Below are 27,926 nucleotides of genomic sequence, written 5' to 3' on the forward strand. Positions count from 1 at the left end.
ACTCTCTGACTTTAAATTATACTATGTAGCTACAGTAACTTAAAGCAGCATGGCATTGGTATGAAAACAGACACATAGACCAATGGAACAGAATAGAGAAGAAAGAGATAGATTCACATATTCACAGCTAGCTGATTTTTGATAGAGATACCAAACGTTAGAGAAAGAATGCTATCTTCAATAAATAGCGCAGGGAAAACTGGATACTCATATGAAGAAAAATAAAACTAGACTCGTATCTCTCACCATATACAAAAATCAACTCAAAATTGATTACAGACTTAAGCATAAGACCCCAAGCTATAAAACTACTAGAAGAAAACAGAGTAAATGCCTCAGGACATTGGTATAGGCAAAGATTTTTATGAGTATGATCTCAAAAGCACAAGAAACAAAAAACAAAAATAGACAAATGGAATTGAGTTAAACTAAGGAGCTTCTGCATAGAAAAGGAAACAATTGACAGAGTGAACAGATAACCTGCAGAATGAGAAAAAATGTTTTCACACAATGCATCCAACAGGGAACTAATATTTAAAATTTTACAAGGACCTCAAACAACTCAACAACAATAAAAAATATAACCCCATCAAAAAAAGTGGACAAGGGGCATGAATAGGCATTTTTTTCAAAAGAAGACATACAAATGGCCAAGAAACGTATGAAAAGCTGCTCAATGTCACTAATCATCAGAGAAAGGCCAATTAAAACTGCAATGAGATATTATCTTACATTAGTTAGAATGGCTACCATTAAAAAGACAAAAAATAACAGATATTGGCAAGGATGCAGAGAAAAGGGAACCCTTATATGCTTCTGGTAGGAATGTAAACTAGGACAAACTCTATGGAAAACAGTATGGAGATTTCTCAAAGAACTAAAAATAGAACTACGATTCAATTCAGCAGTCCCACTACTGGGTATACAGCCAAAGGAAAATAAATCATTATATCAAAAAGATACATGTATTTATATGTTTATCACAGCACCGTTCACAATAGCAAAGATGTGGAATCCACCTATCAGTGAAGGCTGGATCAAGAAAATGGTGGTATATATACACAATGGAATACTAGTCAGCCATAAAAAGAATTAAATCAGGTGTTTTGTAGCAATGTGGATGGAACTGGAGGTCATTTTCCAACATGAAACAACCCAGACACAGAAAGACAAATACCCACATGTTCTCAGTTACAAGTGGGAGCTAAATAATGTGTACATATGGACATAGAGTGGAGAAAAATAAAAACTGGAGACTTAAAAGGGTGGGGGAGGACATGGGGGGGTAAATAATGAGAAATTACTTGTGGTTACAATGTCTGTTATTGGAGTGATGGATATACTAAAATCCCAGATTTCATCATTATGCCATATAGACAGTCACGTAACAAAATTGCACTTGTAACGCTTAATTTGATACAAATTTTTTAAAAGCTAAAAGAGAATTTTAATGTTCACAACACAAAAAAGATATCTTCAATATTATGCTAATTACCCTGATTTTATCACTAACACAATGTATACATCCATTGAAATATTACTATGTATTCCATAAATATGTACAATTAATATGCGTCAACTAAAAATAAAAGAACAAAAGAACTATAAAGTGTCTGTGTATAAAAACTTAAACATTAAGTGGAAAAATATCCACAGCAAACAAAAACACAGGGTCAACAGGATCCCTTACCATAATGGATACAGAATGCATGTAAATTAAGAAAAAAGAGAAGGGGCCAGGCGTGGTGGCTCACGCCTGTAATCCCAGCACTTTGGGAGGCCCAGGTGGGCGGATCACAAGGTCAGGAGATCGAGACCATCCTTGCTAACACGGTGAAACCCCGTCCCTACTAAAAATACAAAAAAATTAGCCGGCCTTGGTGGCGGGCGTCTGTAGTCCCAGCTACTCGGGAGGCTGAGGCAGGAGAATGGCGTGAACCTGCGAGGCGGAGCTTGCAGTGAGCCAAGATTGCGCCACTGCACTCCAGGCTGGGCGACAGTGCGAGACTCCGTCTCAAAAACAAACAAACAAACAAACAAAAACCTAATAGGTACCAAGATGATATAGTAATTTCTATGAAACATCATGACTTAAAAAATTATTTTCTTTCTGAATCTATGTTTGAGGAAAAATATGCAAATAAGATCTTCTGAATTAGAGCTTTATGAGAATATGGTCATCTGCTTTCTTGTGGACATTGTATAGCCCTCTATGTCTTCACTCAACAAATGTTTATTGATCAATATCTAAGTGCCAGTAACTGTTGTAATTGTTGGAAATGAGCTGGTCAACAAGATAGGCAAAGTTTCTCCATTATATACTTTGTATTTTAGGAAAGAAATTTGAATTAATTAATATCAATTAGTGATAAGTGATTTTAAGACAAAATATCCCAAAATACATAATAAGGAAAAACAGCAAGGGCTGTTTTGGAGGCAGTGGCCAGGGAAGTCTTCTCTGAACAGGGATATAAATTAATGTGAGTATTTTAGGAAAGAGTATCAAAGGCGAAAAGAACAGCAGTGCAAAGGCCTGCGGGCAGGAAAATGCTTAATATATTTACACAAAAGCAAGATGGACAGTTAAAGAGAATAAGGGAAGGCCATGTAGGTAGAAATGAGGTCACAGAGGTGATTAGAAACCAGATAATGTGGCTTCTTTACTTGTTTGTTGTTGAATTTGGAATTGATTCTGAGAATTATAGGAAGCCATTGGAATATTTGAAATAAGAAAGTTCTAATCTTATTGATATCATAAAAAGCTTACTGTAGATAATATACACTCAATGGAGCTTGGATTCGGGGGAAGAATGGAAGCTAAGGTATATTTGGGAAGCAGGGACTGATCCAGGAAAGGGAAATAATTAGACTGACCTGGAGTGGAAATGGTGAATATACTGAGTAAAGTTTGTATTCAGGGTATACGTGGAAGGCAGAGCCTATAATACATGCTGATGGACTAGATGTATGGGGTGAGAATAAAAAGTTTAGTGAATGATTTGTAAATTTGTATTCCTATCAATAAAATAGAAATAAAAATTAAAGAAGACAAGCAAATTTACTAAATTATAGAAGACCAGTTACAGATTGGAGGATAGATCACAATTTCTGTTTAAATACATTAAATTTGAGAAGCTTATTGGCTACCAGATATGTAACAAGTTGAAAATATGAGTCTCTCTTGAAGCAGAATTATTAATAGTTTCAATAAAATAAAGTATGGTTTAAAGAAAAGCAGTGTTATCCCATAGTCCTGTCTAATTTTCTGGTAATAGAGCTAGAAAATGGCAGAGCAAAGATTTTTACCTAAGAAGTGAGGCTCCAGAACCCACACTTCAAACCACTATACTATACTTTTGATATATGAAACATCGTCAAGATTTGTTATCAATATTTCTAAGCTAAAGTTGATTATTTTAGGTAATAAAGCTAAAACAATCTTGTACTCTGACAGTCTACTTAACAAACATCACTGTCAATTAAATTTAATCATCACAAACCATGTTTTAAGATCTGGGCAAAACAGTTTCTATTATCTCAATGACTTTACAATCCAGTGGACTGTTAGTATATTTCACTCTATTGACAGTAACATTTGAAGATAAAATGTTGTGGCTTATCCTTATTTTCTACAAGAAATAAGGAGTACATAATACAGAAAAAACCCAGCATCCTTCAGGTGACTTGTTCCTCTTTCCTGTGTCTTTCCAGCCTACTTTGAGTGGTTTCATGCCATTGCTGACCTCTGTTTACCTCACTAACCTCTGGTTATTTTCAGCTCTCTTTTTTTTCAACTGTATGTCCAATTCTCTCTATGGTTTCTGTTTTCCTCATTAAGATATTAACAGATTCTGTGTTCTATAAAAGATACATAGGATATTTCTCTATGTGGTTATCTAACTTGATTGGGAGACAAAAGGCAAAGTAGGTGGCAACCAGAAAGTGAGAATAATATTCTGAAGATATCATTTACCCATAATAATAAAAAAACTCTAGTAATAATCAAATATCAAATGTTAAGAATACTTTGCTCCAAAACATGTAATATTGAGATATCTTTGTGCTATGTTACTGGGCTAGATAAATATTTTAGTTTCTAGGTTTTTAAAAAGATTTTTCCACACAAAATCAGTATGTAGGGTTCATGATAATAATTATAGTTTTTAACAGCATTCCTTTTGTTATGCCAAATTGATTTGTATGTCTTTTCCAGCATACTACCAGTGCCCCTAGGAAGGGGACTATGTTACATTTTCCACTGAATGGCCGGGGCTAATATGATGGCTGGCACATACTGATGTACTTGATGGTCAGTAAACATTTATTGGAAAAAACTAAGAGAAACATATTGAAAACACACGTTTATCTAAGTACATACATATTTCTTTTTCCCTTTTGTAGATAACTGTATTGAAATGAATATTCATTAAATTATCTAAACTTTTCATTCTTTCCTCAAGCCATTCTAATGTAGCTTTCATGTCTTCTTGCCACTAGGACTGTTATAGTGAAATTCCAGAAATCCTATTGTGCTGTTAAATACAAAGCACAGTTTTTGATCTTCATCTTATTCAAATCATCTACATACTTAACTACCACCTTCTAAAAAACTTGGTTTCTCTCTAACCTTCTACCTCTTTCTCCTATTCATTATCAATCTCCTCTGCTGGCTCCTTCTCTTTGTAGCCTCTAGTTTGGAATTTATCATGGCTTAGTATTCAACTTTTTTCTTTCTCCATTCTCCCCAGAAGCAATGTCATATATTCAAAAAGGCTATAAAGATATCATATATTGATGAGTCCCAAAATCATATCTCTACTTCACACTTCTCTGAAATACATTTTTATATAACCAACTGCTTATTTAGAATCATTATTTAAATATCTCATGGGTACCTTAAACATAACATGTACAGTACTGAACTGCTGATTCAGTCTCTCCATTCTAACATGTTCCTCCAACCACCTGTCCCATCACAGGAAATTTATTATCATTACTCTATTGCTGAAGTCCTCCCTGATTTTTCATTATCTTCTATCTCACACATCTACTCAATACAATGTCTTGCTAATTTTTCTTTCATAACACATTTCAAATCCAGCCTTTTCTCTGAATTTGCTTTGCCACAAATATCAAACCATCATTATCTTTTACATAATAATTGTTAGAGCCTAGCTGGTTTCTTCACTCCCACTTTTAACCTCCTTCTAGATCTTTCTTTATGGAAGAATAGGAATATTTTAAGAACCTGAATAAGATCACATCATTTCCCTTTTGAAAAAACTTGTTAGTATATATGTCAATTGCACTTGAATAAAATTCAAACTAATTACTATTTTTCTGACTCTCAACCTAACCTGACCCTGTTTACTTCTACAGGCACTTCTGTACTTTTGCCCCCACCATAGTTACTGTGCTCAACTCCCATTATCCACTCTTTACTGTCCCATACAGGACAAGATCTTTTCCTCCTCATGACCCTTGTTTATGCTGATACATCTGACAGCACATCCATACCCTCACTCTTCCTTTGGATTATTTCTTTTTATCACACGGGTTATAACTTAAAGGTCCCTTCCTTAGAGAAAACTTTTCTACTATCTACATTATTTTTCTATCACAGTAACTTTTTCTTTTCCTTCTGACTACTATAGTTTGAATTATATTTTATTTTTCTATTGCCTTGATTTATATGTCATTCCTGGTACATTGTAAATGTCACTAGGTAGAAGCCTATCTCCATTCCATCCTGCATTGTATTCAGCACACTATTTGTATGCTGCTAACCAATTAGTGTTTGTTGAATGAATATAAAATTATATTTACAAAATTGCCTCTATAAATTAGGTTAAAGAGTTGAGCAAGCAAAATGTAAGTATTTTTACCCATAACTCGTTTAATTAAAATTTGAAACACAGGATGGCCCTTTAGATGCCTTTATATTACAAGAAAAACAACCAACCAAATATGAGAGTTCAATAGGCACCAGTCTTGAGCTACAAGAGTCATCAACCTTACTCTGAGAAATAAGGGCCACATCATGTGAACAGTCTGTCTTGAAACCAGAGATGACAGATGAAATGGAAGTGCAATTAGCACTATTACACTCTTTCTCTTTGTCCTCTACACTTAAGAAACATTTTCCCCTTTTCCCAAGGTCTATCATTAAGAAATGCTTAATGCTGCTGAAGATGAGCTCAAAAGAATTGGTAAATTATTTGAAAATTTAGCAATTTGAAAACTAAGTAAGCTCAAAGCCATTTACCACTATCCCATTTAAACATGCATCAAGAAACATTTTCCCCCTTTTCCGAGATCTTTCATTAAGAAATGTTTAATGCTGCCAAACAGGAGCTCAAAATAAGTGGTAAATTATTTGAAAATTTAGCAATTGGAAAACAAAGTAATCTCAAAGCCATTTACAACCACCCTACCTAAACATGTGTCAGGTAGCTCCTAGGCTTTAGGGACTAATAAAAACAGAGCCCTGGGTGAGTTTTTCTGGTTGCTTAGCAAGTCACTAGAGGAAAAATGCAAGCTGGTAGAAGAATAGGTCCTATTGCCTCTTGTGTTGGGTGGACTTCCTGAGGAGCTATACAAGGCTAGGACATTAGAATATGTAATATCATGGATGCTAATCTTCCACAAGATAGTGCCTCCAGGTTCAAACACTGCCCTACCTGGTAGCTCTGGCCCTTTTTGGGATAACTATTTTAAACCAGGAAAGATTTATAGGAAAAAAAGTGCTTACAGGACAAAATAATTAGCCCCATTTAGCTTTTCTTTTTCTTCTGTTTCCTCCTCTTCCCCCACTTCTACTCCATCCTCCTTCTCTTCTTTCTTATCCTACTGCTGCTCCTCTTCCTTTTTCTTCTTCATTTCAAGAGCATAATCCCACAGAGATTTTGTTTCCCTGAGACTGATACATAATGAGTTGAAGCGGAAAGAGTGAAATTAGAGATCAGGAGACCCCAAAGTGCCTGGAAAACCTCTGTTGCCTCCCAAGAGCACACAGAACTTCGCCCTTCTTGAAAAAATCCATTAGACAGGAAATCATTCAGAATTTTAGAGGAGTCTGGTGAAGTCTCTCTTAGATTTCCAAACCCTGCAGGCTGTTTATCAAAATCTTATACAGCCTCATACAAACCCTGTGATCTACAAAGATGTTATCTAAGACTCCAGAAAGGAAAGCCCTTTCATGTAGTTTTCTATATGTGATAGGGCTCACAGAAGTAGATGGTCATCATTCAAACTGGTTCTGTGGAGGTGAGTCAGTGGTCAGATCTGAAGAAGTAAGTGTGATCTATGCATGTCTTCCGAACAGAGTCTATCTTAATGGATTATATAGATAGTACTACAGATCACATGAATTATCCCTCTGCTTAGGCTGTGTATACTACTAAAGTAAATGAATACCTGTGTGTGTGTGTGTGTGTGTGTGTGTGTGTGTGTGTGTGTGTTCTCTGCCTGAAGCATCTACCAAAAAGGTGGCCAAGCTCTCAAGAATATATATAATGCTGGTATTCTTTTCTTCCCTTATGACAACTTGACAACACACAACAGGAATTCTCATTCCCCTAATCTGCATTATTTCTCTCTTTTTTTATTTTTGGGTGGAACATGTTCCATCAAATTTATGTGCTTCGCTCTCTGTATCTCTGTCTCTTTCTCTTGGTTTAGAATAATTCATCTATAATGGCTCCTGAGAGTCATTGCCTGGGACACTGCAACGTAACATTGTTTTATTTATTTTCCTAGGTTATCCACAATATCCTGTCATGAAAGTTTAAAATGTCTTTTCCTAGGGGAGGATGATAATCATGTTTTCTGTCTGATAACCTAACAATGTATGGCCCAAACTTTTCAAAACATTTTCAAGTATGTCAGTCAATTAATTGTTAATTCAAATCAGTTTTCATCTTTCTCAAGGTTAAAGAGGAGAATAAAATCAAAGACCATGAATAAAACTATGGGTCCATAATTTTATAAATTTGTATGAAGTCTGAAGAACATCAAGAATTTGTGAAATTTTCCACAGAGTAGAAGCACACAAGCTCCATCTAAGTTTTATGGGGTGACAACAATATAAACATGAAATAGTCACTTCTTCTCTGGTGTCTGATAATTGGTAGTGAAAACTTTAAGGATAATTTTCTTTTTCCTTATTGAATTTGGCTACCAGAACTTCAGGGGATTTGCTTCAATGGCAATGCTTCTGAAAGCACAAGTTCATTGATTTGCTGTATAATTTTAATCTGCAGGGAGATCTTCTAGCAGACTAAAGAATGCAGGAATAAGGATCTTAAGGAATGCACTGAATCTCACTTTTGTTTCTAGTCTATCCAAAAGAAGGTGCAATAAGAAGGGAAATGGAAAGCATAGCTCAGGGGAGAAGTCAAGGTTAATACTAGAGACAGATGCGCAGGCAACAAATATTGCTGCAGAAAGTTGATGAGGCAAGAGGTCAAGATGCATTGTTTTAGAGGCAAGGTCTCAAAAGCACATTGACTATGTATCAAACATATGCCAGAGTTATCTTTCAAAATAAAAGTCTGACCAGGTGATTCCTCAGTTCAAAAAGTCATGACTGGCTTACCACTCTTCTTGAAAACAGTAAAACAATTTAATCTAGCACACAATATCACCAGCTATTTCTTATTGAATATTGATTTTTCTTATTGAAAACATGGTGAGAAACTTACTTAGGTTACCCCCAAATTTTAAATATATGGGATTTTCTCGACTTTTCACAATGATTAAGTTTAATTACATGTCAATTATTTTCGATATCCATGATCCTAATATAAGAAGTGCCAATGGCCTTCTTATACACTAACTACATTTGTAGATATTGAGTTTTAAAAGCAAAAAAAGTTTGAATGTTAAAGTTATATGCCTGACTACGGCCAAGTTCATATTGGAAATACCATTGTTTTTAATTTAAATTTAAGTACTTTGTATTTAACTCCAAATAGCAAAATCAAGAAATTACTCTGTGTCAGTCATCATATCAGAACAATTTAATAACGCATAATTACTACAGGTGCAAATTATCAGTGTGACTAATATATATAGTTATATATAACATAACTAAAACTCTGTGGTCCTACTGTCAATAGCATCCTCTGAATTTTTTTTTTCTAAATTCTCACCTAATTGAAATCAAATACCTTAAAGATTTCCCTGAGACCACTGTTTATGACTCACCAGTCCTAGAAACTGATATCTGATACAGAACCCTGAGTATGTACAAGTAAAAGAGCCATGAAACATTTCAGAAGTCAAATTGTTTGATCTTTCCTACTATTTTGGTAAGAATACATGGAATTAGCAGACACTATAGGTAAATTCGTGGGTCATCGATGTGAGGATCCCAATACTCAACTGATTTTTGAGAACTGGCAAGTAGAAATTTAAAACTTTCTTTTTCTTACCACCAAATATCTATAACATTTAGGGAAGCTTTTCTTAAGTCACAGAATGTTCAACTGACTGCTCATAAGAAAAGACATTTATTTCATGAAACATCTTACGTTCCTCCATTGGAAATAATGTCCTCATTCTCTGAATCTGTATAATGTTATGTGTTTACATTTTATGCTGCTTACCCATTTCTTTTCTGTGTTATAATTGTTGTTTTGCATGTTGTATCTCTTCTCTACGAATCTGAGTTTCTTAGGATAAAAAAAATCTTAAATAGTTGTTAGAATCTAAGTTCAACAATATACACATATTAAGTGCTAAAATATGTGTCATAAAGGATATATTAAAAAATAACATAACCTCACATCTTTCCATTCACACTCCTTGAAAGTAACTTGCAAGCTTTCCTACCTGTTCTCCCTAGAACAATGTCTCCTTGTATTCAAGAAGACTTGCTACACTTGACCTCCTATATAGACTATTACTTGAGCCAATCTGAGCAAACAAATTTGGACTGCATACCTTTATTTTGCCATCCATAGCATCTTGTTTTTATACCTCTATCAACACATATTAGTTAATATATTATCATTTGTTTACCCATTTCTCCCTTGGAGTATTATTCTATACCAACCCAAACAGCCACAGTTGTCACACACCAATGAATACACTGATCATTTTATACTTATCTTTAACTAATTTATCATTAGAAACATTAAGTTGGCATCTTCATTTTAGAACATTAAGAACAATGTCTTCTGAACACTTTCAAGCCTCTCTCATTTTCTACAACATACTGTGGCAATACATATTTTCTTTCTCCTTTCAGATTGAAGTGAGTCAGCCTTATAGTCAGAAAGTCTTTGAAGCTAGTCTTCAAACTCTGGGAATGTGCACACAGCCTTCTCCTTACTTGGGAATTCAAGTGCAAATGACATGAAAACAGTTACAGAAAGTAAGGCAAAACCAAATCAAACACTATCATACAAGGACACCATCTAACATCCAAAATATATCAAAAGCAGCAAGCAAGATATGCTGTGTTGTACGTCAGTATCCCTGAGCTGCATGGAGAGCAACAACCAACAGGTCTTCCTTCCTACGCATTAACTCTTTTCTTAGTTTCATTTATTTTTAATTAAGGGGGGAAAAGCTTAAAGCAGGTGGTTTCTGTATGAATAAAAAAAAAGACTCCTAAGCCAAAAGAGAAGTATAAAACCCTGCCGTTTCTCAGTGGCAATGCCAGAAAAAGCAGAGAAACAGAGATTGGTTTTTATCATAAAAAACGCAATAGATGCAAGTTATATTTTCTCCCACTGCCTTGCCAGAATTTAATTATTTCTAGAATAAGCTAGCAGGTGTAAAATGCACAGTTCCATTTGTTATCATGTAAGAACCATGTGAAGAAAAGAAGTTTTGGTTAAAAAAAAAAAAGAAAAAATTGAAGGCACTAAGTCTTAGTCTGTTCAGGCTACTGCAAAAAAAGATACCATAAACTGGTTGACTTATAAATAACAGAAATTTATTTCTCATAGATCAGGAGGCTGGGAAGTACAAGTTGAGGGATGTTTAGTGTCGGCTTTCTCACAGATGGTGCCTTCTAACTATGTCCTCATAGGCTGGAAGGGACTATCTAGTTATCTGCAGCTTTTTTATAAGAGCACTCATCCCAATCATGAGTACTTCACCCTCATGACTGAATCACCTCCCAAAAGCCCTACATTCTAATACCATAGTCTTAGGGGTTAGAACTTCAACATTTGGATTTGGGTGAGGGAGATACAAACACTCAGGCCATAACAGAATAGATAAGCTAATCTTTATATAAGTTAATGTATTCTGTGCTCACCAAAAGAAATCTGAGTATGGCTCAGAGTGAAAAGATCTAGAACTGTATTTTGGTTGCAGAGTGAAAACTTTCTGACGTAGTGCTCATGGATATAGGGTTTGTATTCACTGGACAAACTACATTCTAACATTTGCTATCTATGAATAAGCGACCAACATCTCTGAGCCTGTTTCCTCATCATCACCATAGGAATAAATAATGATTCTTACATCACAAAATTGTTTTAATCATTCAATAGGGTAAAGTATCCAAGACATTTAGCCTGGCAAATAGTTAGGCTTCCTTCATAAATAATAACGTTTTAATGGAAGCTTATGGCTCAAGTGATATTTTAAATCACTCTAAATATTATTGTAGAAAACAATGCATTATATCTTTAGCAGTGTATGATATTGCATTCAACAGACTGTTCCACAAAATTCTTGTGCTTAGTTGTGATTAACACCACAATAATTGTAATCCATTCATGTTTTCGTTCATGTATAATAATCAACAAAATTTTATTTAGAATCTACTATGTTGTATCTGCCTGGAGAACAGAAGTAGGTAATATGTGCACAGTTCCTGTTTTATGGAACTTATTGAAGAGGAGAAAAGCAGACCAGAGAGGGAGAAGGGAATAGAGAAGAAGAGGAAGGGAGGTGAGAGTAGTTGGTCAAATAATAAATATATAGCCACAAAAATAATTGATGAATTACAATTTTAGTAATTGCTATGAAGACAAATTATAAAATGCTGCCTAATTTCTTGTGCGAATGCAAAATGGTACAAATATTTTAGAAAACAGTTGGGCAGTTTCTAAGTAAACATACTGTTACTGTATAATCCAGTGAGTGTGTGCCTCGATGTATAGCAAACGAATTGAAAACATGTTCACACAAAAAACTCCACAAGAATATTGATAACAGCCTTATTCATGATTGCCAAAACTTGAAAACAATCAAGAAAAACTTTAGTAGGTTGAACGGATAAACCATGGTACATCTGGACAATGGAACATTATTCAGCCCTGACAGGGGCTCTCATGCCATGAAAAAATCCTGGAAGGATATTAAATCCCCATTATTAAGTGAAAGAAGCCAATCTAAAAGGGCTATATACTGTATTACTTCAACTATATGGCATCCTTACAAATGCAAAACTATGAAGACCCTGAAAAGATCAATGATTGCCAGAGATGGAGGGGACAGAGGAATTCACAGGAGGATCACAGAGGATTTTTAGGGCATTGTTACTATTCTGTATCTATAATGGTGGTTACATGTCATTATGCATTTGTTCAGACCCAAAGAATGTACAAGACCAAGAGTGAACTCTAATGTGAACTACAGACTTTGGGTGATAATGATGTAATATAGATTTATTGATTGTAACAAATGTACCACTCTGTCATGGGATGTTGATAGTGAGGGAGCCTGTGCATGTGTGTAGGGATGGGTATATGAGAACTCTCTGTATTTTCTGCTCACTTTTTCTGTGTACCTAAAGCTCTTCCAGAAAATAGTTTAAGAAAAAAAGAGTTACCTAAGCACATGTTGTGGCAGTATTATGAGGTTTACCTGAAAAAGAGGGACATATGCTAAAACCTGAAAGATGAGTAGAATTGGGATAGTGGGCAGGAAGGATTGGAGATCATTCTAGTTAAAGTGTAGCATGTGCAAAGACACACAGCCAGAATTTTGAAGGGAATATTTGAGCAACTGAAGGCTAAATAGGGGGCTACAGTACAGGGTTAGAAGATCAGGAGGAAGTGAGGCTAGAGAAGTTATCAGGAAGGGGTCAAACTGCACACAGCCTTGTAGACTACGGCAAAGTTGTAGGACTTCGGAATGGATTTTGGAATCCAATCTGTTTTTATTTTAGAGAGTAGCTTAATAATATCTTTGTACAGACATTGTGGCTCATGCCTATAATCCCAGCATTTTGGGAGGCTGAAGCAGGACGGGTGCTTGAGGCCAGGAGTTCCAGACAAGCCTGGCAACATAGTGAGACCTCATCTCTACAAAAAATATTATAAAAAGTTAGCTGGTTGTGGGAACACATGTCTGTACTTCCAGCTACTTGGTAGGTTGAGGCAGGAGAACCATCTGAGCCCAGAAGTTTGACGCTGCAGTGAGCTATCATCATGTCACTGCCCTCCAGCCTGGGCAGCAGAGAAAGAGCTTGTCTAAATATATATATTTAGTTATATAATATATTAACTATATATAGACAATAATATAGTTATTTATCTTAAAAATAAATGGATATTGCATTTAGTTATCTATCTTAAAAATAAATGGATAACATTTATGGCATAGAGGAAAGAACACTGATCTACCATTCTGTAAGTATGGGCATTTAAAATTCTGTGCCCAACTCTCCAATGGGTTAACAATGTTATCTTCAATATAGCCAAGCTTTTAATTCATCCACATGTTCATGCTGTAAGTGAAGAAACAGGCTCAGAGAATTTTCCATCTAATTGAAGTCTAAAATGTTAAGCCATTACTTTTTTGAGTCAATATATGACATTAAATATATTCTAGGTTTCTACCAAATACATTCTTCCACCAGCCACATTAAGCAAAAATCTGATGCATAAAGATGAAAGGTGGGCATTCATTATCTTTAATATCTACATAGGTCTATGAGGTGGTCATTATTTTACCATACTCCATTTACCAATAAAAACTGCTGTTGTAAGAATTTTTTTTTTTTTTTTTTTTTTTGAGTCTCACTCTGTCGCCCAGGCTGGAGTGCAGTGGCAAGATCTCGGCTCACTGCCAGCTCCAAATCCCCGGTTCAAGCGATCCTTGTGCATTGGCCTCTCCAGTAGTTGGGATTACTGACAGCCACTACCAAGCCTGGCTAATTTTTGTATTTTTAGTAGAAACGGGGTTTCACCATGTTGGCCAGGCTGATCTCAAACTTCTGACCTCAAGTGATCCACCAGCCTTGGCTCCCCAAAGTGCTGGGGTTACAGGCATGAGCCACTGCAACAAGCAAGTTGTAAGACATTTAGATTGTACATCACAGCTGTGCCATAATAAAATGTAAGGCAACTTATTTTAAATATTCTACTTCTGAAAATATTAAACTACATTTTTCATTATACATTATACTTATTTAATACAGAAAACTTCCTCTTTTCATTAATATTTATGTCTTTATTCTAGTTTGCACCATCTCCTCCCCCAAAACCCTCACATATCTTGCATTACAAAATACTGTCACTGTGTTGCTTAGAAATGCTCAGAACACACATCCCTCCATCTTTTTCCCCCCCATAGCACTCATTGCTGCCCATAAACAAATTAACAAATAAATAAACACAATAATTTTGTTTCTTCCCCCATGCATCCTCTGCTTTTTAGGTGGTAGATTTCATAAAAGCTAGGATCTTGGCTCTCTGTTACCAGAGCCTAATTGATCTGGGGAGAGGAAAATACATTTTTTGTGTTTTTTTTGTTGTTTGTGGTAAAACTTGTCCTGAGAAGCAGATCGAGCCTTATTTCTTATGGCTATTTTATATTTAGCATTCTCATTAGCAGTACTGAGCAAACCCTCAGGGTGGACTTCCACTATGTGGTGCAGATTAAGTTTCAGCGCTTTTAGAGATACCTTTCTAATCCTTAGGAGGAAGCCATTATCTTTTGTCCATTGAGAAATCTTTCCTAACGACTACTTTACTCAGAGTTCGCCAATTGCTTTATTATTTTTTAATATTACTACCAAATAAGCGTCCTAGCTAATGCTTTTATTTCCCTCATCATACAGTTTTCTTCATTTTGTACCCAATGCTGACTTCCTTATTATCCCACACATTATTTGTCTCTTCCATACAGCTGAATGTTCTCTTTGGATAACAAACTGAAACTAATTGATTTTTATATTATTTTAAGGATCTGCAAAAAATGGTGCTCAACATATATTAGAGAAAACTATCAAATTTCACCCGAATAAGAGCATTATTGATTTTTTTAGTGCATTGCAAGAGGATGTGAGCCTGTACTCTTTTCCTTAATTTGAATGTAAGACTAGTGTATATGTATTTCTTTATAAGTTTTCCAAATACATTGTTTTAGTGAGTATCCAAAAGATGTGTTTTGACTGATCTAAAATACAAATTACTTGAATTCAAATAAGGATAAATGTCAAAACCACAAAAATATCTACTTAAAAGAGCATTACGAGTTTGTCTAAAATGGCATCTTTGCTTTATTTCCTATTAGGAGATAATAAATATTTTTTAATAGAACAAGTCATCTCAAACACAGAAAACACTTGGTAAATATTTATTAATAATATTGATGACTTTATCACATGAGAAAATAAAGACCAGAAACATAGACATACATCAAAATGTTTGTCTGTCTTGCTATACTGGTGTCTTCTGTGTTAGGTTTATTTTGAAGATGACATTTAAAAACTGAACACCACAAATAGGCTGTCCTTCTGTAGAACTCAGAACCCTTTTTTCTCAGAAAATAGTTTCTCCATTTTTTCTTCATTTTAATACAAATACAGCTTCCACACTATATAAACATCTGTGTTTTAATTTAAGGGCTGTAATTAACACTTTCATCGACTCTATCATTTACAAAACACAATAAGCCTGACCAATAGACACTCATCGGTTAATGCATGGAGATCAATCTTGTTTGGCAGAATTTCATTTACTGAGGAAGAAATGAGCAGTTCTGATCAAATGAAAAAGAGAATGATCATTTTTCTTGAATTCTTAAGCAAGTTTAGGACATTCAAAAATTGTATTCTGTCATTTAAATTCTTTTACAGAACATTTGAATTTCAAAATGATGTAAGTACTTTAATCTTGTTTGGAATCACTTTTGTAATTGGATCTGCTTAAACAAATAATATTCACTAATTATCAGCTTGTCAGAGATTGTCATAGCTCTAAACATTAAGAAAAACCTGAGAGTTCAGACTTTTAATGTTATCTTCAAAAAATTAATTCTCAGAAATAAAGAAAAAAACAGCTTCCCATCTCCCTACCCAGCAGGGACTATTTACCTCCCACATCACTCTTCATCATTAAACAAGAATAACTGTAGTAATATTAATCCTATCTAATCCTGTAAATATGTAGCTGAATTAACATTTTTATATGATGACCTAATTAGTGAAACTTTTAAAGTAGCTTAAATAAAAGGAATCTGGGAAAAAAGTGCCATTTTTCTGAAGATCTCTGAGAAGAAAGATATTAGAGGGAAGTTCAGGTGAACATAAAAGGATTTAATGTGAAGAGAATTGCTACAAATTGTTAGGTAAAAGCCTTATTGCTTTGAATTGTGCTTTGTTGTTTCATGTTCAATTAAAAATTCAATACAAACATATTTCAATTATTTGAATTATTTGAATGTTCTTTACACAGATTGCATGTGCTACTGTATCAGCTGGTGTAGTTAGAGTACACATGCAAGACAATTTTTAATTTTTAATTTTTTACATGTTAATGGAGAATCTGATTGCCAAATTAATGACTTTTGAACAATCCCATAAAGCCTTCTAGTAACTCTGAAAAACAAGACAACCATTCAAGTTGAGATACCTGAGAAGCCTAATTAGAACAACAAAATCCTTTTTTTAAAAGACACATTGAATTACATGAATGAAAGAAAATCCATTCATGTTTTCTTAATAAATATATTCATAGGTCCTTTCATTCTAAAACAATCACAAAATTCTGGGTTTTGGTCTGGTGTGTAGAGAATTTGGAAGTCATCATTCCCATCTACACAATAAGAGAAAAGCTGAACAAACTAAAAATCAACTCTTCTTAGATTTTTAAGAAAATTGAGATCATTTCCCACTAAAGGAAAACTTCTGCCCCCAAACATTGGAGAGACAGTCAGGCAGGTACAAAGAATTATAGCTTACCAGAGCAGAAATTCAGAAGCAGAAACCTCTGCTGGAGCCAAAACCAGGGTAGAAAAACAAACTGTAATTGATGAAATGCTGGAGGCTCAGTGTGTACGAGCTTGAGAGTTAGTTAGAAACTACAGGGGAGCCCACTCTTAGGGAATATCCCACACTGTAATGAACTTTATGTTCAAAAATGCTACAGGGTTCTCACAGTGAGGTTTGGAGAAAAATCCCCTCATGCTTCCAGCATGGAGAGGAGAGAATAGCCATTTTGAAGACTCCCAGAGCATTCTGTTCCTCTTAACAAGGCTTGTCCTCAAGTGAAACTATTTTACCAGAGCTTAGTTGACCTGCAGGAAGGGAAATACCCAACTCCAGCCCTGTGTAGATTTTCTGTCTCACCTAAGGGAATGGGGTACAGAGAAGCACATTCGAAGGTCACAGACCAGAGGCACAGAATCACCAAGACTGAGACCTAATTATAGGACTGTTAAAGGCTTACCCTCTCCCTACACCTTACTGCCATATCAACAGGGATCTTTTATAACAACAGGAGATTACAACTGAAAGAACTCCACACCTCACACTTCTTTAAGAAGAATTTTCTAATGAAACCAAAATACAACAGGCAAGATGAAAATAAAAATATAAGACGAAATTTTGACCTCTGACACCTATGGCTGTAGCATAGCAAACACAGCCTGACTCCTAGCCAGATAAACATAAAATGTTATGCTACAGGCCTATTTATCTGAGTTCCTTTTACGCAATGCATCATGTGTTTAAATATAAAATTACAAGACACACTAAAAGCCAAAAAAATAGAAGAGACAGAGTAAGCATTGAAGTCAGACTCAGGTATGACAGGGAGTCTGTAATTATCAGACTGGGAATTTAAAACAACTGTGACTAATATGCTATGAGCAGTAATAAAACAACCTTAACAATGATGACCAAAATGAAAACACGTATACAGATGCTCCTCGACTTATGATGGGGTTACATTACGATAAACCCATCAAAAGTTGAAAATATTGTAAGTGGAAAATGCATTTAATACACCTAATCTACTGAACATCATAGTTTGGCCTAGCCTACCTTAAATTTGTCCAGTACACTTACATTAGCCAACAGCTTGGGCAAAATCATTCAACCCCACACCCATTTTATATTACAGCGTTGAATAGATCATGTAACTTATTGAATGCTGTGCTAAAAGTAAAAAGCAGAAGGGTTGTAGGGATGTTCAAAATACCATTTCTACTGAACGTATGTCACTCTCGTACAATCATAAAATCGAATAATTGTAAATTAGTGACCGCCTATACTGTGCTCTGTGCTCTTAGGAATACTGCAACGTCCAGTGTTGTCTTCGTCCTTCAGGAGTTTACAGTGTTTCAGAGTTGACAGAGAAATGAGCAAACGTTCCAACAGAATGTGATAACTGATGCAATGTTTAGTCTCTTCCCATCTATTCTAGTGCTAGAATGCCATGACTTACCCCCTGTACATTGTCAACTCTCCATTATGGACACTGTTTTCATGTTCACCTACACTCTATGTACACACTTCATTTTTAGTACTAATGCAAATCAATTTACCTTTTTTCTAATTCTTATAACTGCTTTATTCTTAAGACTCTCTCAAGTTTGATATCTTCCTGTGAATGAAGTACCCATGAAGTTTCACATTTCCCCATGGTTGTGATTTTTATTCTTTTAATATCCCATTTGCACTAAAGATTAGTGGGGGAGGGAAAAATAAACCTAAAAAGTGATTTTCTAATGTTTTTATGCATTTTCCATACCTGTATCCATTTCAATATTTTATTTCAATATTTACAAATTTAACGTGCTACAAATATTTTATCAAATATTTTGAATATTTGATTTTCTGATAATTCAGCAGATTATTTTATTTTCTGTTCCAATTAATAATTTGCGTGTTATTTTCAAAAGTATATTTCTTAGGAATATCTAATTTAGAGTAAATACATACTGCTATAGCATTGGCATGAATAACATTTCAATGTTAAAATTCTTTTTCAATAAACTGAATTTCCCCTATCTTTAGCTACTCATTTTAAAGAATAACTAATGCATTAGCAAAAGTTGAATCTCCCTTATCTCATTGTAGCATTTCACACAAACATTATCTCTTGCTATGACAAGTTTTTAAATTTTGTTTCAGCTTTCAAGTACTTAGAGAATGGTTGCAAAACTATCCATTTGAAATTAATTTAGTAAATGCCTTACTAAAATGTAAATGCATTATGTCTATAACATTTTCTTCTATTTAGTAGACATGTGGTCTTATAAAACTATATTTTCCAAGATGTTTCTATTTCTAACATATACTAATGTATTTATCCTTCAGATTTGATTTTTTTATTAAAGAAAGAGCTCAAATATTAATAGATTCATATTTCACATGTGAAAGAACATATACCAGGAGATTAACTATTTCAGGAAATTTTATAGATATTTGGTAGTAAATTATTTGTTTTTATGAAAACATATCATATGTAAAATAAGCATTGATTTTCTAAGTTATTTAGATTCCTACGTATCTAAGGCTGCACTGGCAGAAGACATAGTTAAATAAAAGACACATCTCAGTATTTTGCTCTTTATACTGACTCTTCGAGGAAGACATTATTGGTATAATCTGAGGTGTCAGAAAAATAACTTCTTGGTACCAACTAACTTCCAATTTAAGTATCAGAGCATCTGATATTTTTCTCCAAAGATCTATCGCTTTTGTAGCAGTAAGAGAAAATCTTTTTCCTAGGGCAAATCCAAAATTAGAGAATTCTCAGAGAAAGGAAGATATCTGTTTGAGCTCATTCATATCCCTCCAAAACAGATGAGCCCTGGGAATATCCTTTAAGAGGGAACAGCATTGGACTTAAGCCCAGGTCCTTCTACAATTGATTTTTCAAAATCTTGTGTTCCGTGACAGTTATTGATTATTTTTTTCTATGTAATTCCTTAACCTCGTCTAGAGACTCTTGGTTCTGGTTTTTCCTTTCTGATCTTTCACTTCTGAGAAGGAGTTTCTAGCTCCATTTACACTTCCCTTCACACTTGTTCATCTTTTATACACACTGGCCAGATGCTTGAAGTATGATTCTTTATTCTGGCACTGACTCTAGTCACCTGACTATACCCCATCTCTAATTATTTAGCCTTAATTTCAGTGAAGGCTGGTCTAATAATGATATTTATAAATATACATTTAAAATTTCTGATAACACATTCTTACCAATTGCTGTTTTTTCACTATATTCATGGGCTGCGGTCAGTTTTAATAAAAGACTGTGGTCAAATGCTATTTTTTAATAGAGACATTTTTACCAAGGAAAGTCATTTCTAGTGCTAATGGAGTTCAGGCCAGTTCAAACTTGCTGAGGAAGCAGATCCGTCCTCCTCGGACATACAATATGCTGAGCCCAACCCTGGAAGTAGTACTATGTCCTTGGGCAAAATAAAAGTTCCGCCAAGACCCTGACGGTATTAAGTAATTCCTCCACTGGCATCCTCCTTCCAAATGCATTAAGACATTAAAGGCCAATACATTAAGTCACTTGCACCTTGGTGTGGATCAGTTTATCAGAATGTTTTTCTTCTGAAAGAAAGGACTGAGGGTGCAAGTGATGCACGGACAACAAGGGAAAGAGGAATGCCGAGAAAAGTGTAGCGTGCACAGAGAAGGAGAGATGCGCTGAAGATTAACTACTCCGACCTTATTTTTCACCATATAATTTTCTACTATTTACTGTGTATCAAAGAGAATAAAAAATTATTACAACCACAACCACCAGTAATCTTTACCATAAATCCAGGTGTGCATAAACATGTCGAGCCAGGTTCATTCTCCATGCAGAGTTCATGAACACATGAGTTGGGAATGCACTCAAGCTCATTCTCACAGTGGTGTCCAGACCATCCTGTTCAACAAAATTACAAAGCAGATATGCAATTTTTAATGATAATAAAAACAGTTATGCTAATAGCCTATATTTATTGGCTTTTACTATTTGAAATAATTATGCTAGATGTTTTGTACAAATTACCTCAGTGTATCTTCATGATCAGTTTATCAGGTAGCTCTTATTCTATCTCTATTTAGTTCAAGAGAAAATTAAACTCAGAGAAAATAAATAATTTGCTCTAAAATCACCTAGTTAAGTATAAATGAAAGTGAGTACATGTATGATATGTCTCAGCTCTTATCCGTGGTGCCATTTAACATTACATATTCAAATGTCTTTACTTATTTTACTTTGGAATAAATACATGGAAAGCAATAGAATAAAGACACTTAATAATTCCCTTAATATGAATCTTAAATTCAGAGGAAAGCACCTACTATAGATCTCTAGATATACAATGTTATTTGTGATACTTGTAGTATTACAGTTAGTATTTTACATTTAGTATTTGTTATACTGTGATTCTATAGAATATAAGTATTGTGTCTACGTACATTTGGCCATTGGCTGTAAGAATTCTCATTAAACATGACAATCTAAAATTTTCCAGACCAAAACACAGTTTGATTGTATGTATTTTGTTTGGCTTTTGCTAGTCAAACATTTTATTATTTCCATCATCAACCTATCAACCAACATTGCTAAGTATTCCATAAGCTAATATCTCAGCTATGCTTTACTGGGTAGATATTAGGAACATTTTTTTGAAACCATTGATTCTTTCCCATCAGATAATTACTTCTAATGAATCTTAATATGCCTAACATGCTAGCCACAACATCATGTTAACCTAAGTATACCCTTCCACATAGGGACAATGGGTCTTTACAGGCAGCTCTCACTGCTCACTGACTATGCTTACTCTAATCACAACTTTTTAACTTTTCTTTATTTTTCTATGTATTGTCCAATAGCATTTAATCTGAACCCTGGCTGTTGGGAAATGTAAAATTTAATTATTGTTTATACTTAGGAAGATATTCTGATTGTTCTTCCCTGATAAATTGTAACAAAACAATTAAATACATATTTTGAGGTACTTAGAAATGATTTATTGAAACACTTCATTATAAGAAACAAATAGGGCCTGAGTCTAAAAGACATGGCAATGTCCACATCAAACTTAGAAATAGCGGCCAAGAGACTAAATTTATCAAATCTTCATCCAAGACTCTTTCCACTTTGCAATGCTCTTTCATGTGCTGGGCTGATTCTGCAGAGATCTCTACTGAAGAGGCTGTAAAAGGTGATATGGAAAAAAACATCTTCACAGGGTTTATAAAAAGCCAATATGACTTTGTTGAGTCTCACAAACATAGTTGAGTCTCACAAACATATTATTGAGCATAAAAACATATTGCATAAAAATACACCCTGATAAATGCTCTTATAAAATTCGAATGCATATGAAACTTAGTAACATTGCTTAGAGATGCATACATATATAATAAAACTCTAACAAATACTAAAGGAATGCTGATATAAAATTCAGAATAGTTACTTCAGGGAGTGGGATGTCCCTGGAGGGATATAGAGGTGGCGAGAATTATTGCTAATATTCTATTTCTCAGAACACATGGTAGTTATACACATTTATTACAGTGTATTTTGTATTTTTTATATATTGTATCCTCTTCTGATCGAATATTTCAAAATATAATTTAAGCAATTAAAATGACATAGTTTTCCTTTGCTTCTCATACTGTGAAGAACATGATAAAGCTTTAAACCATAAGATGGGAAGTGTAAAAGAAAAATTGCACTGGGCCAGTTATACAGACAAAGAAGACTTCATTCAAGAGTACTGCATAGGAGACAGATTTTTACAATAGAGTAGAGAGCTTGTACTCAACCCCACTAAAATAAATGGGAGCAGGAACATTTTTAAAGGCCAGGTGAGCTAACAGAAAAGTACCAGGGGGATGTTTGGGTGGGTGGGAATTTGGTCAATTTCAATAGGCCACCTGTACTTGCTGTCTCTTACTGAAGTTAGGCTTCTACTCTCCCAAAGAGACTGGGAAATAGGGGCACTATTTGTCTCGTTCCAGGGTTACATTTGTTTTGTTTTGTCTTTCATTGTTGTTGTTTTTGCTGTTTTGTTTTGTTTTGTTTTTGAGACAGGGTCTTGCACTGGTGCCCAGGCTGGAGTGCAGGGGTATGATCACACATCACTGCAGCCTCAACCTCCTGGGTTCAAGCAATCCTCTCACCTCAGCCCCCGGAGTACAGGATTACATTTTTGAAGGAATGACTCCCAGGTCCTTGGGAAACAGCCTGAGAGAAGATTTACATCTCAAAGAGACAGAGAAATAATTTACAACTACAAGTTTTCTAAAGTAAATGCTCTACGAAAAGGGAGATCAGGCCCTATAGTCAGGAAGAAGTCTGTCTAAAGCCTAGTCAAACTGAGAAAAACATTAAGGCTGTGTTGGTCAAAGACAACAAACAAGGATAGAAAATAAATTAGTCAAGATTCATTACAAGAAACAGAAATCACTCTAGTTATTTAAGCAAAACGGACCTGAATAATGGAATTAGATGCTTACAAAATTATCAGAAGGAAGGAAAGCTGTAGGAGTAACACCAAGAACCACAGGTATGACTTTCTGGAAGATGTCCCCTCAGTCAGGATCAGGAAGATGAGAAATATAAAAGCACTCTTAGGATTTTTGAGTTCAAGAGCCCATTGTGCTAATCCAAGGAAGGTTGACCACCAGGCAGCTGCCGTTTCAATGCACCTACGCACTGAAATAGTGACTCTACAGTGAGATCTGCTGCAAAGATCCACATAGCTCCATGACTTTTTTTTACCAGAAGAATCTGCTAAGACACCCAGAAATGGTCTCCATCAGAGCCTTCAGATTTTAGGTATGTTTCTTACTGGTGGAACTCAATTATATTTGCAACTCCAGTTTTGAAGGATTCTGGAAGTTGTAGTTTTCAATACTCTTGCCTCTGCAGTACAGGAAACCACACTACATGGGAGTGGATACTGAGTGTCAATCATACCCATTAGTATGAAGAAACACGTAAGATGAATAGGTGCTTATTCTGGTGTGGGACAAGGTAATGGGTAAGAAATGAGACCAGAATAAGAAAACATAAATCAGGCAAATAAATATTTATTGGATTTTTTAATGTTCAGAAATGAAATATATTTTCTTTTGAATCTTATGTAGGTTTTATGTTCATTCTTAATAAGGTAACCAAATATTCAGAAAATAGTTTGGTAACTGAAAACAAAAACCAAAAATTGTCATTAGCAATCTAGGAAAAGTAATCAAATTATTATGGTGTTAAACTAATAGTATTAACCTAATGTCTGACACATAATATAAAGTAAGTAAGTGCATAAGGAATAAATGATTTAAAATAATTGTGGTGCAAAATAAAGACAACTTTAGGTGACACATTGCAATAAAATTGGAGTAAATTTTTACTAATTTTTTTTTAAAGACAATCTTGCTCTGTCACCCAGGCTGGAGTGTAGTGGCATGATCACAGTTCACTGCAACCTTAAACTCCTGGGCTCAAGGGAGCCAACCCACCCAGCCTAAAACTAGAGTGATCTTAAGTTGAAGACTAAACCAAATCTTTAAATACATTGATATATTCAGCTAGAAATATTGACCAGTTTTAATATTACCATTCTATAACATAAGTTATAATACTTTGAGTTTATGAATGAAAATAAATGTCACTACTTCTAAGATTTATATATTTTATTTTCATTTCATTTTCCCTCTCTGCCCATAGTGATTTCTATCTGATGTTATGAATATAAAATAAAAATAAACCTAAACCTAAAATAATTTTGTCTAACTAGTTAATACATTATTTAGTAATTGGATAACATAAAATTATTTTCTCTTCTTAGTCTAACTCTAGAATATGTAAAAAAATTTTACATGTACACCCTCATGAAAATACAATAGTATACACTCTTTTATCTCATAATAAGGATTTCTTTACTTTTCATGGATCTTGATTTAAAAAAAGATTATTCTGTATCTCTTTTGTTCTAAATGCAGCCACCTCATCATCGACAATAATTGTGGCTACTGGTGGCAGATATTATCTATGTTTGTTTCTCTGTTTTCTTGCCCCAAGGATAGTGCAGCATTTCTGCTACAAAATGAACAATACTACTTTAAGGGCAAAACATGCATTTGAAGTTTGCATCACCAGCAATATAACACCATTGCACCCCTGCTGGGTATAAAAAGTATCTGGGCACAGTGACTGTCCCAGGGATTGAGAACAACTCTGAGTGAATTTGTGGTACACAAACTGTTCCCTATCACTTTCAATTTGCTCTTCATGGGATAGCTCTGATCACTTACTGGGTGTTCTACATTGTTAGATAACACTATACATGGTACTATTTCGGCTAAAAACACACTAAGTGTGTTTCTATTTCTATAAAAAACATCTGAATACCTATATTGATACTTCATTGGAAATGAGCTCAAAAACCCATTTAATTCCCTATATAGGTACAGGATGAACTCTGTGATTAGGACTGTCCTAAATGATGTTCAGGATGTTTCTTGCACAAAGAATTCATGCAAAGAGGATGAGTGAGGTCTGAAATCTAACCTGAGCTCCACTTGTCAAGTCTTATACCTTGTTGGCTTGGAGGAAGTGGCATATTTATATAATTTTTCTGCCTAGAGATGGTGGAGGGCTTTATGCTTACCATGGCCCTGTCATGACTGGACAACATTGGCCATCATAAATGAATTGTACTTTTTCAATATGTGCTGAACACTCCCCAAGGACTGATTATGATACAAACTCTCTACTAGGATTTGGTGATACAAAAATAAACAACATTTACAATGTCTTCTAACCCACTTATATCCAGGTTAAATTTCAGTGTGTTTTGCAGACTGTCTGGTGGGGAAAACAGTATTTAGTTTTTCAAACTGTGCTCTGTTCAGAATGTTGCAGGATTCACACAGCTCTGTTTGTACTAAAATGAAGAGGGAAGGGAGAAAAGAGATAAAACCTTTTGGCATAGAGGTGGAGTTACCCAGGATGACAACCATGGAGTTGTTGTTAGATAAAGACAAGAGTATTTTGATAATTAGCAACATAATATGAATGTAAGAAAGATTTCCACAACTGAAGAAAATGGCAATGATTTATAGTGTTTAGCCAATTTAAAGACAGAGGAATACTTGTGTAGTTTTCTACCTGGAGCTGTGTAAGATAAGATAATGGCATGACTGAGATCAAAGCCTAGGAAAAAATTTTCAAAATTATTTGAGGCTTTTTAAAAATCAATGACAGAGAAGTGGACATGTGTAAATGAAATGAATCAGTCTTTGTGTTTTTCTATGGCATTTAGGAGAAAGCAAATTGCTGTGAATTACTCAGAAGAGTGAAAAGTTTTATATTTTTCTAATGGAATCTTTTAAAGAGAAAAACAGATTGGGTAGGAGACTTCCTGAGAATTCTCACAGTGTTTAGAATTGCTAACATCTAGACTAAGCTGAACCACACTGATTGATTTTATTGGGGAAGGCCTTTGTTTTTTAATGATTGGTCAATTCAATTTTTTACTGTAGTAAGCACATTTAACATGAGCTCTCACCATTTAACACGTTTAACTGTGTAATACATTACTATTAACTATAGGCATGATATTGTACAGATCTCTAGAATGTATTCATCTTGCATGACTGAAACTTTATGAGGAGTTTCTCTTCACCAAGATAACATTTTGGGGGAATATGAGAAATGATGAATGCACAAGTGTCAGTGCAGACTTCTTAGGTGTGAATCTTAGCTTTGCCACTAACATGTTGTGGGACATTACCCAGTGGTTCTGGGACTCTGTTTCCTTATTAGAAAAATTAGGTAAAATGAGATGCCCTTTTCTCGATGCTATGAAAACTTAATTAGTTAATACATCTAAAATAACATGGTGTCTATGCAGTAATACTGATATTATTATTATTTTCTAAGCACATACATGCCAAAGAACTCACACATTTGATCTTCGAAATATAAAATTCATATACACGAGACAGAGGTGCTGAAAAAAGGTAGAATTTTCAATAAAAATTATAGAGAAAAATTAGTATTCTATCAAAATCAGTTCCTTTTGGGGGTAAAGAGTTAATTACAAAGGGACAGCATGAGAAAATTTTGGAGGATGGTGGTTAATTGCCTTACTGTGAGGGTGGTTACACAACTTTATGCATTTACCAAAGCTATAAAATTGTACACAAGAGAGTTAATTTTACTGTGGGAATAAAAATACCCTGAAACCGTGGCAAACTATGCCCATTAAGAAAATGAGAAAGGGATGAAGAGTAATCTGCAGGAGCAAGATTATTCCTTAAATAACTTTAAAGGGAGGATGGATTGGCATGATTAAGAGCTATGGCTGGAGCAGAGACAGGAGTGTTGGGGACGTGTCAATAGCATTTTCCAAAAATTTGACTTTTTCATTTGTCACTTAGTTTTCACTCCCATGACTAAGTTGTGAAGAGTGTAAGTAACTCTAAAGTCAAAGGTATCAGCAGATTTTGAATAACGCCTAGCAATACAGGTGGTATCATTTTGAGATCTTCTGCTTCCCAATAGTGATCTGAAAAGCAGCCTGAACAATTCAACAGCTTAAAAATGTCCTCATGCTTACAAGTGAATCCAGAGTAGTGGAATCAACCTACAGCAACAAAACTAATCTAGCACCTGTAAGATGTTTATTAACATGAAACAGAAAATGAATCTAGTAGTTACAAGATACCTATTGTTATGATAAACAAAATTTATATGGGT

General features: G+C 34.7%; 1 protein-coding gene across 2 annotated transcripts in view; it reads right to left on the minus strand.

The window, feature by feature from the left end:
- Positions 1-27,926, minus strand: part of EYS (eyes shut homolog) — a 1,987,247-nt gene that overhangs the window by 876,465 nt on the left and 1,082,856 nt on the right. For both annotated transcript variants that reach the window (NM_001142800.2, NM_001292009.2), the window contains exon 24: positions 20,974-21,089. In NM_001142800.2, coding sequence (NP_001136272.1) covers positions 20,974-21,089 — 116 coding nt within the window. The remainder of the gene's footprint in view (positions 1-20,973; positions 21,090-27,926) is intronic.

The sequence above is a fragment of the Homo sapiens genome, chromosome 6 (assembly GCF_000001405.40).
Source record: "Homo sapiens chromosome 6, GRCh38.p14 Primary Assembly".
Lineage (NCBI taxonomy): Eukaryota > Metazoa > Chordata > Mammalia > Primates > Hominidae > Homo > Homo sapiens.